This window comes from Homo sapiens, chromosome X (genome assembly GCF_000001405.40).
Source record: "Homo sapiens chromosome X, GRCh38.p14 Primary Assembly".
Lineage (NCBI taxonomy): Eukaryota > Metazoa > Chordata > Mammalia > Primates > Hominidae > Homo > Homo sapiens.
In genome coordinates, this window is record NC_000023.11 from 79,358,370 (window position 1) to 79,375,467 (window position 17,098).

General features: G+C 36.4%; 1 protein-coding gene and 1 pseudogene across 2 annotated transcripts; both read right to left on the bottom strand.

Moving 5' to 3' along the window:
• Positions 2,015-8,965, bottom strand: ITM2A (integral membrane protein 2A). 2 transcript variants are annotated; one of them, NM_004867.5, is made up of 6 exons: positions 8,736-8,965; positions 5,054-5,185; positions 4,573-4,770; positions 4,212-4,322; positions 2,960-3,110; positions 2,015-2,808 (listed from the first exon to the last, which is right to left on the bottom strand). In NM_004867.5, the coding sequence occupies exons 1-6, from the start codon at positions 8,844-8,846 to the stop codon at positions 2,720-2,722; spliced, it is 792 nt and encodes a 263-aa protein (NP_004858.1). In that variant the 5' UTR covers positions 8,847-8,965; the 3' UTR covers positions 2,015-2,719. The 2 variants fall into 2 exon arrangements, with proteins under 2 accessions (NP_004858.1, NP_001165052.1); NM_001171581.2 differs by lacking the exon at positions 5,054-5,185.
• CORO1CP1 (CORO1C pseudogene 1) lies at positions 11,016-11,807 on the bottom strand (annotated as a pseudogene).

A 17,098-nucleotide genomic window follows, 5' to 3' on the forward strand; every position in this document is an offset into this window, starting at 1 on the left:
TCATTTAGCATTAGGTATATCTCCTAAACCTATCCCTCCCCCCTCCCCCCACCCCACAGCAGTCCCCAGAGTGTGATGTTCCCCTTCCTGTGTCCATGTGTTCTCATTGTTCAATTCCCACCTATGAGTGAGAATATGCGTTGTTTGGTTTTTTGACAGATTTGGGGCTCTGAGTTTCTGGAAAAACAATCAGAGAGCTAGTCTCTGTCAGATATCTATTACTCATGGATGCCAGCATCAGGTTATCATTCAGTTATACTTTTAGCATTTTTAAAGGTTTTTCTCTTTTAAGAAATATTCATTAGTAGTAAAAATTTAGGAGATGCTGCATTTGGAGGGCTGTTACCCTTATGCTATTTTATACGATGGCCACTAGGACTTTTTTGTTTGTTTGTTTTCATTTAGCCAGATTTGGGGGCAAAATTGGATATACAATGTATCTCGTTGCATGGAGCTTCTGTTAGGATACTGTTCTTTTACACACTAGAATCTCTTTCTTGGCATCATAATTTTCTATCTTGTGTGAAAGTTACCTTTAAAACTATTGTGAATTTGGCTGTGGTTTAATAGTTGTTCATGTAAGACATCCTGTCTCCAATTACTCTTTTTTCATTTTTTTCTTTAGTGATTCTAACTTATTTATGCTTCCAGATGAAACTTCAAATAATTTTGCCAAGTTCCAAAACCAATTATTTTGGGATTTTAATTGAAATTGCTTAAAACAAGAAATTTAATTGTGGAAGAATTTGTCTATTTGTAATGTTCTTCCTCTCTTCTCTATTTACTTAACTTTTATTTTATATCTCTTAATTAAGTTTCATGGCTTTCTTTATAATAATTCCATAAATTTCTTGTTGGTGCTACTTGATGTCCCTGTTGCTATTGTGAGAATATTTTTTACCTGGTGGTATTTCCCTTTAATTGGTTGTTTGTGGTATAAAGGAAAGTAATTGGCTTTTGTTTCTATCATACTGAATCTTCTCATTAATTTTTAAAGTTTTGATTATTCCACTAATATCTTATATGTAAAAATCTATCTAGTAATAAACATAATTTTAACCCTCCTTTAAAAGTTATATTTTTATTTGTTTTACATATTATTGCATTGGCCAGAATGTCTGGAACAACACTGAATAGCTTCAATAGCCAACATCCTTTCCTGTGTTGTACCATTAGTTGTGATGTTATTTAAGATAAATTTGGAAATAGTGTATTTCCTTTTTCCTAAATTTCTATGCATATTTTAAGACAAGCAATGGGTGTTAAATTTTATCAGACTCTTTTTACATATTCTTCTTTATGAAGAGCCAGTTCTTGAATTTATCAATTACTGTTATTATCTTCTAAATACTGCATTTTGCTTTCTGTATGCTTTATTGTTTGTGCCATCGCTTTATTTCTAAGTTCTTAAAGTTAAATGTTTAATTTATTTCATTAAAAAATAATGGTAGTATTTAAGGGTATGGATTCGACTAAGTAGTTTTGGCTACTGAAATTGACCAATAGTTGGTATCCCAGCAGGTAATAAGGGATATCAGGAGCGATTTTTCACCTAATACAAGGGAAATAGTTTATAGTACTCATGTCCCCTTGGTATGAAGTTTAGACTCTTAGATACATGAGTAATGATCACAGCATTTGAAGTTCTTAAAAGCTATCAACATCTTATCCAAGGTTAGTCCTTAGTGATCCATTATAGCTGTGTATAGTTGTTTAATTTGATGAGAAAGAAAACACTTCAAAAGATTTTAAAGTGCTATGCGCCTGAAGCCTCTAAATAAATAGTTGAATTTACATGATAAGCCAATTATGGGATGTTTATAAAAGAGTAATTAATATACTGTCAAAAGGGAGTGAAATATGAAAATATAACATATAAATATGTGTAGGTGGGAATGGGGGCAAAGTTGGCCTCATAATTTTAGATCTGTTACAGGTACACCAAAAGCTAAATAAGTAATATTAATTATTCACATTGACTATATCTCAAGTGATGAAATAAAAGAAACAGTGGTTGTATAGAGTAAAATTTATTATAGGGTTGTAGAATTCATACAACCTAAACTCCTTACAGCATTCAGCACCTACACAATTTTGTGCATTCCACAATACAGATAGTAGTGAGAAAGAATCACTGCATTAGTTAAAAATGACTGTCTCATGAAAATTGTTCACATATAAGTCAGGTTAATTACAGAGCACCTAACAGAACTGCAAAGATGTAATTTCTAAATTCAAGAAAGTTGTACAAAATGAAAAACAAAAGAAACCAACAATGTTGAGATCTGATATATTTTACACAAAAAGTTCAAAAACAATTTAAAATATTTCAAATTTTAAAATTGCTCCACCATAAGATGAATAAAGAGCTTACTTAAAGGAAAAGAAAAAACAAACAAACAAAAAAAACAACGGATGGAATTTATTGTCAGGATGTTAGGTGATATATTCATGCTGCTTTCAGAAATCTAAACCCTATAAATTCAAAGAAAAAATGAAACTCATGTAATTTCAGTTTCAAAAAACAAGCAATGCCAATTAAACTAAAATTTGACAAGAGCTTGCAGTGGTTAGTAGTTTTTTTTTTTCCTTTTTTTAAAGCATAAGCAATAGAGTAAATGCATGAGTAAATATCTTGAGTATCCCATAAACCTTAATGTTAAAGTCATATTGTAAATCTCTGACTTCTTATTACCAAGGACACTCTATCTGTTGCCTCTTACTCTTGACAGATCTTGGTCTCAACAATAAATTCGTTGGGGAAGTGTCTAATCTTCCAGCATTTATCAATGGCACGTTTGTTGAAACCTGTAAGGAAATGTGCAAAAAAAGTGGCTTTTGAAATTTTTGTGGAAATGAAAATATATCCAGACTTGTTCCCCACTTTTTCCTGTATTCTACCTCCACTTTCTTCCACTGTGTAACACAGGGTGAAGGAAGGAATACATTAGTTACTTACCCAGCAAGAGGTCTCTGCGACGAAGGCGGAAGGACTTTCTGTTATTGCAAAGTTGGTAAATAAAGATGCCAAGGTTACTAACATCACGAATTTCCTCCACAGCAACTAGGTCTTCTCGAACCACATAAGTTTGAGGCAGATATCTGCCACTCTAAAAATCAAAAGCAAAGATTGAAATGAGAAATTCTTTTTCCTTTTTAACTTTGAAGTTCAGGAGTAAAAGTGCAAGTTTGTTACTTAAGTAAAGTTGTGTCATGGGGTTTGTTGTAGAGATTATTTAATCACCCAGGTATTAAGCCTAGTACCTACTGGTTATTTTTCCTGATCCTGTCCCTTCCCCCATCTTCCACCCTCTGAAAGGCCCCAGTGTGTGTTATTCCCCTCTATGTGACCATGTGTTCTTTGCATTTGGCTCTCACTTAAGTGAGAACATACGGTATTTGGTTTTCTGTTGCTGTGTTAGTTTGTAAGGATAATGGCCTCCAGCTTTATCCATGTCTCTGCAAAGGACATGATCTTGTTTTTTTTTTGTGATTTTTTTTTTTTTTTGGCTGCATACTATACCATGGTGTGTATGTATCGCATTTTCTTTATCCACTCTATCATTGATGGACATTTAGGCTGATACCATGTCTTTGCTATTATAAATATTGCTGCAATGAACATACTTGTGCATGTGTCTTTATAATAAAATTATTTATATTTCTTTGGGCATACACCCAGTAATGCGATTGCTGGGTCTAATAGTATTTCTGTCTAGGTCTGAGAAATCACCACAGCATCTTCCATAATGGCTGAACTAATTTACACCAACACCAATGGTGTATAAGCATTCCTTTTTCTCCACAACCTCACCAGCATCTGTTATTTTTTGACTTTTTAGTAATAGCCACTCTGACTGGTGTGAGATGGTATCTCATTGTGATTTTGATTTGCATTTATCTAATGTTCAGTGATGCTCAGCTTTTGTTCATGTTTGTGGCCCGCATGTATGTCTTCTTTTGGAAAATGTCTGTTCATGTCATTTGCCCAAATTCTTAAGGACACTATTTAAATCCTTTCCTACACCAGATAATGACTGTAAAAAATAATCTTTATTTTCTAGAGCAGTTTTAGGTTCACAACGTTTTTTATTTCAAAATTATTTCAATAAAATAAAATGTTTTGGACAAATTCATTATTTTTTTAAAAAACAAGGAAGTAAAATTACTTGGAAATGCTTATATAAAAATTTGACTTCCAAAATACATACCGCCAGTTTGCCAAAGAGCTCTACCAGATTTTTTGGAGGCATAACAATAGAAGTATTGAGGGGCATCAGATAGCAGTTCCCCAGCAACAAGTCCAGGTAAGCAGTCATTCCCTGTTAGGTAGGGGAAAAAAGTCAGGTAAGACACAGAAGGCATTAACATTGCGAATTTTCCAACTACCATTAGATTAAGCGGCTACATCCTTTCAAAATCAACTAATGTGTATTCAACAACAAAAGAATGAAAAGGCTTTGCCTCAAAAACATGTGCATTCATGAATGAATTTAATACCTGCCAATGAAGTAAAAAAGAGAGAGAGAGAGAAAAAAAATCCTGGAATATTTATAAGAATGAGAAGCCCACCTTTTCAAAGTCATGAATAATTGCTGCAGGGTCACTATCAGAGAAACTGGGGACAGGCACATCAATGATTGCAATGTTGTCATCCTCACGAATGTCAGCCTCCTCAGTCACAGGCAGGAAGTTAGGCTCTCCTCCACGAAGGGAATTTGCAGGATCCTCAGAATCAAAAAAGCACATCTCTCCACGGTAAATGGTGCTCTAAAAGACAAAAAGGGAAAATTACAACCTTCTAATAATCACTATCATGATATTTGAATGGCTTTTCACACTCATATCAATTCATTGTACTATGTGTTAAGCCGAGGCTTGTTGACTACAGTTATCACAATGAAGACAAATCAATTTTATGAACTGAAAGGCAACTTGAAAACTTTCCCTAAATCTTCTTTTCTCTAGTCACCACTACAGAATTTTTTAAGTTGCTACTAAATGTCTAGCAAGTAGTAATCCAAAGTATAATAATTATAATTATTATTATTACCTTGGGCATGAAGTACTTGTAAATGCAGGCTCCACCAACAATAAGTCCTGCCAAGATGAATGAAAGGCCTAAGAGAGTAAGCATACATCTCCCAGAGGAGCCCTCTTTTTCCTGGGTGGCAACTCGGAGCTCCTATTTATTAAAAAGCAAAACCAAAAACAAAACCAGATTGTACTTTTAGACACATAGTTGATTTTGTGTACAATTTACCTCCCTTGAAACCCAAGATATTTTTTTAAATGTTAACTCATTTTAATTGTAGTCTGAATTTATTTCAAGACAATTTCTGAATCTAATAGATGTTAAAAAATGTCTCTGATTATATTAACCTTCCATTTGGCATTTCTAAACCCAAATATCGATATGAAATTATTTCAAAATACATGCATCAAGAATCAAATTAAAATTACCATTTATTTATGCAATGTCATATTCTTTTTTACTGTGCTAAGAACACTTAACACGACATTGACTCTTAACACATTTTTAAATGTATAATATAGTATTAACAATAGGCACAATGCAGTAGAGCCGATCTCTAGAAATTATACTCAGTAAACAGAAGTAATTACTTTTTGAACTAGTACACTGATATAATCACTAACTTTCTGGGATATGGTTCTGTTTCTTCATTATTTTTTCCAAATCAGTTTGTCAACTTAAAAGAGAATTAGTATCCTTTGATTAATTTATTAACTGATTTTTCAAAAAGCTGATTTTTGAAAATTAGGTTTTAAAGGTAGGAGTTCTATAAGGTATATGCCATTTTCCCCATATTTTAGAAATTAAAATATTGAAGGGAGAGATATAAATTTAATGTTCCTAATTTAATCGAGAAATAAAAGTTTCTTAATATCGATCAATATTCTATAACTGTGTATTGCATGAATGAAATATTTTCCACGTCCTGGGTGAAACACTTGATTTTGAAGTGTAGCATTTGCGATAGCTAGACACAAAAGTTGTCTGTGTGGTAACAGTGACTGTAATATTTTGTTAAATCAATATTTTGCTTCGGGATTGAAACAAGAAAGATCCAAAGCAAACAAGCAACTGATTGTGCCCTTCCCAGGGCAGTGGACTCCAATCTTTCTAATCCCATTTTTGTATGTCACAATACATCCTAAGCAGCATTGTTACTCAAGGACTGAATAAATGAAGTAAGCAAATCTAGGCCCTGATCATTAAAGAGTAAATCATTCAAACGTGTATATAAATCGAATTGTTTTAGTCTTTTAGGTCATTAGCTCTTTTTCAGGACAACTACTGCAATGTTTATCAGAGCTAACTAACCTTAAATTCATTTGGTGAAAACAAATGCATAGATTTCAAGTTAATGCAGAAGATGAAAGGACAATCATTTGTTAAATGTTTATTTTTCCAAAAATATTTTTCTTTGAAGGTCAAAGAAATTTGAGATTCCCATTTTCTTAACTAAATTTATTTAAGTTCAAACCCTCCACTAATTAGTACTCTATAAACCTTGAAGGCTTTTCTGTGTCCCAGTAATTTTCAGGAACTTTTAATTATTTTTATTAAAAAAAAAAACCTAAACTAAGATTAGCACTACAAAGATAGAACTATAAATTTTGATTTGGAATTACTGTACAATAATCTAGAACTGGAGACTTAAAATTATATTTTAGATGACTAAAATGAGTTTCATAAAGATAAAGTAACTTGCTCATAAGTCACATAATAGCTTAATTTGAAATTCTAAGAGAAATAAATTTATTTTTTCTTGCTACTGAGACATGAGAAGAACAGTTTGCACTGTAATTTCATTTATTCTTTCAATAATTCAGGAAGTTTATTAAGCAAGGCCTAAGTATTAGAATTTCAATTTCATAAGATGTTACATCCTAGAAATAAGGATTTTTTGTTTTCATTTACATTTATTGGACTTTAGGTTGGTGTGAGCCATCAATTACCATAGCTAATTTCTCTTGGAACTCTTTCGAAGTGATTGTACACTATGTCTGACATCATATTTGTCATGCTCAACCTCTAATGAGCTAGCTGATCAATGTATTACAACACAATATGTCAAATATTATTATCAGTGTCCTATAGTGGCCAGGTAAGGATCCTGTTAAGTTTTCTCCAAAACGTAACAGCAAAGTATAATCAAAGTGCAAATGCTCAGTTTTGCTTATTCCTCATCGCACCCACAATCCTGGCAGAAGTATTGCTTGCATATTAACTGAATCTATCTACAAGTCATGAAATGCTTGGCGGTGAAGAAAAAAAAAAAAAGGATTACTGTGTGGCTATATTTAACTACTGGCCTCTAATTAGACCTCCCAAAAAATCTGACCATGTTTAACCTACAAACTAAGCAGGAGAACAATTACATATTTGACCTCTGTCATTTAATCAAAACCTCAACAATGCAAGAGGGTGTTACTTTTGAGCTCTAAAATGTATAACACACAAAAGCTAGTTTTACTGCAGGATTTAATATTGAAAGTTTCCATAATAAAAAGCTGGATAAGCACATTAACATTTCAAATTGTGTGTACAATCAACTTTTACTACATGGATTCTCATTTAACTCAAAGGACTTTTTATATCTCCACTTTGAACACAGAAGTTAAAACTATATAGAGAACAAGACAAGTCAGGACAGATCTGCAAGCGCCAACACTTTCCAGATTTCATAGAACACGAAGACAATACTATTGCCCTTTAAAATTGAGATTATACTGAGGAGTAGTATACGAACCCTGAAAACATAGTAGGTGTTTAAAAGAAGTAGAAATAGGACTAAATAAATAATGGATAACATTTTGGGGAAGAGCTTCCCCAGTTCCTGTCAAAGCTAGTAGTTTAAATTACAACACTGGACCTGCTTCAGATCTCTAAATAGAGGGAAGGGGATGTTGTTCAACAAGAAAAAAATTTAAAAATAATTGAAAAGTATCCTCAAATTTATTTTTACAAGAGAAGAGTGTTTTCTTTAGGAAATACCACTCTAAAAATATACAAGGCTCTTGCAGTAAAAGGGCACAGTGAACACCCAACACTGGCATTAAGATCCACCTCAATTTTGACAGCTTCTTTATCTAATGTTTAAAGCCACCTATGACCAGAGAGAAACGGAAAATATTCGCGCGCTCAAGCAGACCACTTGCCCCAACCCATACTGCTTGGAGTTAAAAGTGCCCTTTGCTGCTCACCCCACCTCCACGAACACTCAGAGATCATAGAAAGATTTAGTCTTAGAACTTCATCCACACCAAAAGGAAAGAAAGAAATGTTAAATCTCCCGGTCTTGCTCACCCCCCTGTGTCCCCTCTGTCCCTGGGGAGACTATGCGCGCCCCTGGAGGTGGGGACTGGGCGACATGCCCCTCCTTGATCCCCAGGTCCCTACACGTTACCCAAGAGACAATGACAAGGAGTCCCAGGGCATCTCCTCAAACTCTCTCTGACCTCCCTCCAGGACAGCTGGTGTGAGCTGGAACAGACAGAACATGGCACGACACGCGGGAATGCAGAGTGACAGAGGGTGCGGTAAGCAGAAGGTGCCGCAAGGAGACAGAACCGAGGCGACCGGGTAAACCCCAGAGACAGCGTAAGAGGAGCAAGAGGGGCCCTCCCAGGGAAGCTACATTTTCTCCTCTGCTACCAGCCTTCTTTCTTTCGCCCACCCCTCCCCCATCCCGCCCTGGGACAGCTACCTTGCCGGTCAGTATCTGAGTTCTGACCGTGCGGCTCAGGAGGGCCTCCACGTCTTGCCGCGCCTCCTCCTTTTGCACGGCGGTAGGGGTATTGAAGGCGATTTTCACCATAGTGAATCTTCGGGCTGCGCGGTAAGGCGCTGCTGGAATCAGCGTCCTGGGCTGCAGACTGCAAGAGGAGATCCTGTTAGCCCAAACAGCACTTACTTTATCTTCAGTCTAACACTACTGCAAGCCGAGGTCTGGGATACTTATGACGCAGTCCCAAACTGGGGGGAGACCGTGGGCGGGCCCAGGGAGGTGCCTAAAGGGAGGAGCGAGAGGGGGCCCAAAAGGGGCCCAAGTGCCTGAGTTGGGGGTTTGCGAGGTGGCGCGGATTTGCCACTGGGGGAAGAGCAGGGGAAGTGGAGTCCGTGGCCGGCTCAGGCTAAACGTGCCTCACCTGCACCTCAGGCATACTCCCACCCACTCTCTGCAACTTCAGATAAGAGCAAGACAGGAAGGAAGCCTGCTGTGTCGTGTCTTTCTGCCTCTGTCCAGGCCACAATAGCCCCTGACTATGACTGTTTTCTCAAACTTGGACCTGACTCCCCGCAGGGCCTGGGACTGTAGCTTGGCAGTAACTCAAACTTCCTTAGTTCTGGACCCACCCAGGCCCCCAAAGCGCCATTCTACAAAGGTTCTGTTCCTTGATAATAATATCTTCCTTTTAAAGGACACCTAGAATCCTGTTTATAGTTACCCAGTTGATTCTTTCAACAAATTGTTATTTTTTTTATTTGCTTGCTTGTGTTTTGAAATTTTAATATCTCAACCTAAGGCGATGCTAGATCAGAAAGATAGGGCTCCTGCCTCCCCAACACCCCATTTTGTAGATAAGACATGATGAGACAGAGAAGGGTGGAAAGCTTACAATAAATTCCTGAAATAATCTAGATTTTTCACTCTTCCAGGTCAGGGAAACCAGTGTAAAGTCTCAACCCAGAGACTGTTTCTGTTCAGCCACCAGCTGTGAAACCTGCAGGGGGAAAAAAAAAACGTGTGTGTGTGTGTGTGTGTGTGTGTGTGTGTGTATAAGTACTTATGTGTTCAGGAAGGTGGAGGTGGAGGTGGAGGATACAAAATTTAGCCAGATGCTAATACCGATCTAATGGAGGAAAAAACAATAACTTCAAAGGGGTTGAGTTAGAAATTATTCTTGGAACATTTACATGTGCAGCCAGTATAATCAAGCTGTTTCTTCACAGTCAGTTTTTCCAGGTTAGTGATACTGATAGAGAACCTTACCAAGTACAATGCAGGCTTTGGAGGTTGCTGACTGGGGTAGCACTGGTACACAGTTTATAAATAGTCCCGCTGCAGAAGACAGGAGAAAGGTCTGTTGTGTGAAGACAGTAGCACTTACCAAAACAACAGCATCAAACAAAACAAAACAAAGAAACAGCTTTTGCTACAGAATTTACCATCTACTCATCTACCTAAGAAACGGACTTAAATATGTTGAGTCGCCACCCCTTCATCCGAAAAATTCCAACTTGGCGTTTTTCCCACTGATGTTTCCTTGACTCAGAAGCCTGTCTCCTGTTTCCACTGTGGGACCTTTGTGAAGACAGCATTCATTTTCTTGGATAGGCCACAGATGGGAAGGTGGATGGAGGGGAACAGCGGGGAGCCTGTGCCTTACTTAGGGCCAGAATCTTAAAAAGCAGGATGTTTGAGTTTGCTTAGAAATATTGGCATCCTATGTTCTTTCACTTATTATTGCTCAAGATTGACCATTATAATTTAATATTTATCAGGCAACCTTTAGTGTAAGCTGAGGAACTCTCACCTTCCTAGAATGTTTCTCTTTACAGTTGCCTTCCGCTTGCAATCACCTTTGTGACATCTCCACTATGGTCTGTGCTAGTCTGGCCCGGTGATCCACACTCATGGTTGCTCTTGCACATTTACTTAGTAAGTGCAAGGTTCTGGGCGGGATTGTGATGTATTATCTTAGTATATCTTTCCTGAAATGGGGTCGGGCAGAAGGAGAGGGATTCTTTTCATTTTTTCAGATGAATAGATCAAAATTATGATAACGATCAAGGGAGTATGTGATCAATTTCTGGGTACATAATATTGAGCAAGTCACTTCGTCTTCTCAGATGTCAGTTTCTTCATTTGTGTCCTGTTGCTGTGAGGATTATTTGGTATAATGCAAGAGGAAATACCTTTTAAATTATTATGAAAAGGATAGGGAGTGAAATGTTTTGTTATCCTGGGATTGTTATTTTATTCTGTAACATACGCATGTTTCAAGCTTATAAGAATTATTCTTCTTATTATTTACCCTTCAACCATTCTTAACATTCTAGAACTGCTTAAGATCCCACAGTACCTGAATATAGGTCTTACTGGAAAAGGTTAAACTTCTAAGAATAGTCACATAAATTGACATCTAACTTCTCTTTTGGATTTTGAAGAATTTGGCCATCTCCTATTTGTTAACAACGCATCCTCTTTTAGGTATGGGTCTTTGCTACCGTTGGACATATGTGATGCAGGCACAGTCTCACATTGGCAGATACCACAGTTTCCTTCTCAATATATAAAATAATACTTGTGTTAGGATCATAGAATAGCAACAACACCCATTGTCTGTATCCATTCCAGGAAGGTTAAATAGTTCCTGAATATTTTTTGAACTGCAAAATATAAGCTGCCACTTGCTCCTAGGGTTGAAATCAGTAATGAACACACTTCCGTCTACTAAAAAAAATGATTCTCCGCTAGGCTCTTTCTTGTATTCTCTCCTTCCCAGTAACAATTTCTTTTTTTCTAGAATCAATTTCTCTCACTTTCTTGTCTTTGGAAAATGGGGATCTGGCTGCTATGCTGATTCTAGCTCACATTGTTAACTACATCTGAATGCATACCATTCAAGTTTATAAATGACTTCCCTGTTCTCACATGCCAAATGATGACTAAATTATCATAAGTTGGTCTGAATGGAACATGGCATGTAATTGAATGCCAAGCAATGATGTCAACTTTCTTTGAATGATCTTCTGAAATTACCACAAATGCAATCACATAAAGCTAAACCAATAAGGGTATCTATAATACCATTTCACCCATTAACTCATGTATTCATTAATCAAATATTTACTGAGGATCTACTATGTGCCTTGTGCTGTGATTGGCATAAGAATACAGTGGTGAGCAAAACAGATACACTCTTGTCCTTACAGAGCGCATCATTACTATACCAATGGCAATGATGTACTTGTCGTGGGTTCTCCAGTTTTTGTAGTAGGAACACTGGGCTTATGCTGTGGAGTAGGATATAACAATTCTACAAACCAGCAGAATAGGTCCACCCACAGCCAATGCTACTAGGAATATTTAAATGACTAGCACATTTGCAATGGCTTCACATGCAGCACTCTATTTAGGAAGATTAATCTGACAGCAAATGTATTGGGAAACCAGTTGGGGGTGCTCGTCTATATTCCTGGTGACAGGTGGTGAACTATATTGATAATTGAAACACTGAAAACAAAAGAACAACTTCCAAAGAAGTCTAGGAGCCATTCTTTACAAGGCCTGCTGCTGGAATAAGTCATATGAAGGAGAAACATTAGAAAAAAAAAAGATTTTGTTTTGAATGAATGGGAATTCCAGACTGGGAAAATGGTAGTGCCCTTAATATGAAACATTTGTTGAACACAGTAAATGCCAGATTTCTGCGCTAAGCCCTTTAAATTGATTATGTCATTTAATCTTTACCACAACTCTGTGAAGTATTATTATATACTTCATTGCACTGATAGAGACACTGAATTTCCAAGAGGTTAGATAACTTGCTTAAGGTCAAATTCTAACCCAGGTAGTCAGTGTTTATATTCTTAGCCACTATATTGTCTTACTGCCACAAAAAGAAATGGGAAAATCAAGAAGAGAGCTGGTTTTAAAGCAGGAGAAAATAATCAGAATATTCTCTAGGGCATGAAGCATGAATCTCCTCCCCATACTGCAAACAGAAATTCCTGCTTAGAATTTTATTCAGGACTAACCACGTTTGAAACCTTCTTAAGACTTTCCCAGCCTACCCATGACTATAGGCTACTGATCCTAAAGCATATTTCTTCTGAGTTCTCCAGTTGCTTCTGTCAACAATGAAGCAGCTACACAGAGAGCTGGCCAGCCATCTGTTTCTGGGTATAATTCCAAAAGTTTGGTTTAGATCTTTAAAGAGCCAGGCTATTTTCCAGGTCCACTCTTTCCCTGTACACATAGCTTGATCCTGGGAGCAGAGCTAGTGCTCCCCAGTGAAAGTAATAGAAGGCATTTGCTTTCTGGAATAGATTATTGTTTCTCCAGGCCATTTAACGTTTTCTCTGTAGACTGAGTATGCTATGATAATAGGAGGATGTAACATTTTCTTAAATATGAGAAAAGATTCCATCATCCCATCACAATGATGTGGTTATATATTCGAGGTTGAGAAGTTGTGTGCCACCCTAATTTATAAAAATCACTTTGCTTTTTTGCCACATAGAACAACCAAGTACATCTGATAAAAATGTTTGCACTTTCAATGCACCTTTCTAAATTGTGTAAAATTTCTAATCTCATCTTAGACTATCTTTGGGGACTTTTAAAATAGCTATCTGAAAGGTCTTATGAGAACTCTAGTTCTGAGAAATGCAAGTGAGAAACTCAAATCTAGTGCCAGTAATGCTTTTGCGAATACCCAGTTGGTTCAGTTGCTCCATACTATAGCACCAAGTGATAGTAAGCTGTCTTTGTGACAGCTTCAGAGTTAGGTTCCCATTCAATAAAAGCACAGGCACTTGCATTTTTTATATATGATTGTTAAACCAAATATTCTTTTTACCTTCATGTTTGGTTTTGTTTGTGGTTCAACATAATTGAACCACAATTGTGGTTCCTAGTTTAGTCTTAAAGAACATAAAATCCAAAGTTGTTTTATGTTACAGAATTTACCTTGATTGTTCTTGTTTTGCAGTTTTTTAATTTTAATTTTATTATTTGTATTTGACACTAACTACAATGTATGCATATCCCAAAGCCTCCAACTATTCTAAAGTATGATGGCATCTTGGTAATATAGAAGCCAGAAAGGCATACACAACAGAGGAATGCTCTAAATTTATAGTCAGGTTGATGGCACATACTTGACTTCTTATTATTCCCAAAAAATTACATCAGATCGTGATTGGAAAACCCTGCTTGAGAATCCCCCATTTCAAACTCAAGGTCCACAAAAGGTACTGTTTATACCTCAGTGTGGTTGCCAGTTTCTGTGCTAGTGCAAAAATTGAGGTCCTGCATAAAGGAACACTGTAGTATGTGACAGCCTTTGTTCTGTTTTTCATCAATACATCAGTTATACTTCCTGATTTTCAAGTTAAGGGAATTATCCTCTCAGAATTTTAACTTTTGTTTTAGCAGCTTAATTTTAATATCTCCACCTTATTGAGAAGAGTTCTACAAAAAAATATTGTCCACACAGCTTGGGAAGAAAGGGGTGTCTTCTCCCATGTTCTGTTTATGTTGCAACTAACACAGAGCAAATGCCTCCTTTCCTCACATTTGGCATGAAGATTTATAATTTAAATGATGCTACTAAATAGAGCAGATTAGAATAATAATAATAGCATCTATCAATGGAAATAGGTAATGACACAAATGCCAACAATTTTTCCAAATAAGGAGAATTTTTTTCCTCCCCCATTGACATGTTACTCCTTGATCTTTAAGCTTTAATAAGACCTCTTTACTTGGACTGCTAAAGGCTTACTTCTGCACTCCTGTAAACCTTGCAAAGTAGCTATTAGGTATCTCATGCTGGTGTACCCTCATTCACCTTCCCTTTTGGCACTCTTTTTGTGTTGAAACTTTTAGTTATGTGGCATTGGAATCTTACTTGGTAGTTAATTTATGAAAAGCTTAAGAATAAATCTATTCTCAGTTAATGCCTAGAGTCTCTATTGAAGTAAAAGGAGGCTTACATACATAAGAAAAATGCATGTATACTTAGGAATGACCCAGGAAATCAATTCACTTTGAAGAAAAATACATTCTATGAAATTGTGAAGAAACTAGGAACAGGATATAATGACTGATTAACAAAGATATTTGACAAATATTATGATGAATGTGCTGAGATTGTGGGCAAAGTGTGATTATGCCACCTATACAGCAATATTTTCCAAAGACACCTCTACAAGAAAATCATTAGAATTCTAAATCTGCATCGCAAATACACTAAAAATATCTCCTCAACAACTCAAAATAATCTATAACTGTTTATATGTCCATGTTGGAAATTCAAAGAAGCCAAAAAATTCTTCCACCAAATCAACTATGCACACGATTTTTTCTCTCTCTGTCTCTCTCTCTTTCAATCTCTTTCTCTCTCTTTCTCTCTTTCTGTGTGTGTGTTTGTGTGTGTGTTTTAATGAGCATATTCTCTTGAGTCCTGTTTCTCTAAATCACACCAACAGATTGAGCATCCAAAGAAATTTTAACTGGAACCCTCCAAGGCACATCTATTGTACTTTGTATTGAAGGTATATAGCATAGGATAGTACAGTTCTTCCCATTATACACTGCACTTTAAACTAAAAAAAATATTAATACTGTTCTTAGTCCTTACTAGTATCATCTTCATTTTTGTGTTTTGTATGTGTGAGGGTGTCTGTGGAGTTTGCAGTTCTGACTTGCTTTCCTGATGAAAAATGGACAGAACCATTTTTTTAAATTTCCAACTTTTAAGTTTAGGGGTACATGTGCAGGTGTGTTACATAGGTAAACATGAGCCATGGTGGTTTGCTGCACTTCCCACTACCCAGGTATTAAGCTGAGCATCCATTAGCTATTCTTTCTGATCCTCTCCCTCCTCCAACACCATACCTTCCAACAGGCCCCAGTGTGTGTTGTCCTCCCACAATGTGTCCATGTGTTCTTATTATTTATCTCTCACATATAAGTGAGAACATGCTGTGTTTGTTTTTCTGTTCCTGCATTAGTTTGCTAAGGATAATGGACTCCATCTCCGTCCATGTCTCTGCAAATGTCATGATCTTGTTCCTTTTTTCATGGCTGCATAGTATCTCATGGTATATATGTATCACATTTTCTTTATCCAGTCTATCATTGATGGTCATTTGGGTTGATTCCATGTCTTTGCTATTGTGAATAGTGCTGCAATGAACATATGCATGCATGTATCTTTGTAACAGAATGATTTATATTCCTTTGGGAATATACCCAGTAATGGGACTGCTGGGTCAAATAGTATTTCTGACTCTAGGTCTTTGAGGAATCATCACAGTGTCTTCCACAATGGTTGAACTAATTTACTCTCCCCTCAACAGTGTGAAAGTGTTCCTTTTCCTCCACAACCTCGCCAGTATCTGTTGTTTCTTGACGTTTTAATGATAGCCATTCTGATTGGCATGAGATGGTATCTCATTGTGGTTTTGATTTGTATTTCTCTAATGATCAGTGATGTTGAGCTTTTTTTCATGTATTTGTTGGCTACATGTATGTCTTCTTTTGAAAAGTGTCTGTTCACGTCATTTTCCCACTTTTTAATGGGATTGTTTGTTTTTTTTCTTGTAAATTTGTTTAAGTTCCTTGTAGACTCTGGATGTTAGATGTTGGTCAGATAAATATATTGCAAAAAGTTTCTCCCATTCTGTAGGTTGTCTGTTCACTCTGATGATAGTTTCTTTTGCTTTGCAGATTTTTAGTTAAATTAGATCCCTTTTGTCCATTTTTTCTTTGTCGCTCTTGATTTTAGCACTTTCGTCATGAAATCTTTGCCCGTGCCTATCTCCTGAATGGCATTGCCTAGGTTTTCTTCTAGGGTTTTTATAGTTTTGCGTTTTGCATTTAAGTATTTAATCCATCTGGAGCTGATTTTGTATATGGTGTAAGGAAGGAGCCCAGTTTAAATATTCTGCATATGGCTAGCCAGTTCTCCCAGCACCATTTATTAAATAGGGAATCCTTTTCCCCATTGCTTGTTCTTGTCACGTTTGTCAAATATCAGATAACTGTAGGTGTGTAGTCCTATTTGTAGGTTCTCTATCTGTTCCATTAGTCAATGTGTCTGCAGAACCATTTCTAAGAGACAAATTGAGGTCCCGTGCTTTTGCAGTGACTGCAGAGATTCTGGTACTCACTTTTGCCAAGAAATAATGAAGTAGGTTTGTATGTTGATGCTATTTTAAATAATGTATTGTTCTATAATCAATTCTATATATATTAATTCCTTACCTCTATCAGCCCCTGTCTTTTTTTTATTGTTTAGAGAAATTTTTATTACAAAAACAAACAGGGAAATA

Bases quoted from the DNA above. Each gene is read 5' to 3' on its own strand.
- ITM2A (NM_004867.5), bottom strand. From the start codon at position 8,846: ATGGTGAAAATCGCCTTCAATACCCCTACCGCCGTGCAAAAGGAGGAG. The intron at 4,771-5,053 runs GTAATAATAATA...TTTGTCTTTTAG, and splicing joins ACAAGTACTTCATGCCCAAG to AGCACCATTTACCGTGGAGA. The intron at 2,809-2,959 runs GTAAGTAACTAA...ATTTCCTTACAG, and splicing joins TCGCAGAGACCTCTTGCTGG to GTTTCAACAAACGTGCCATT.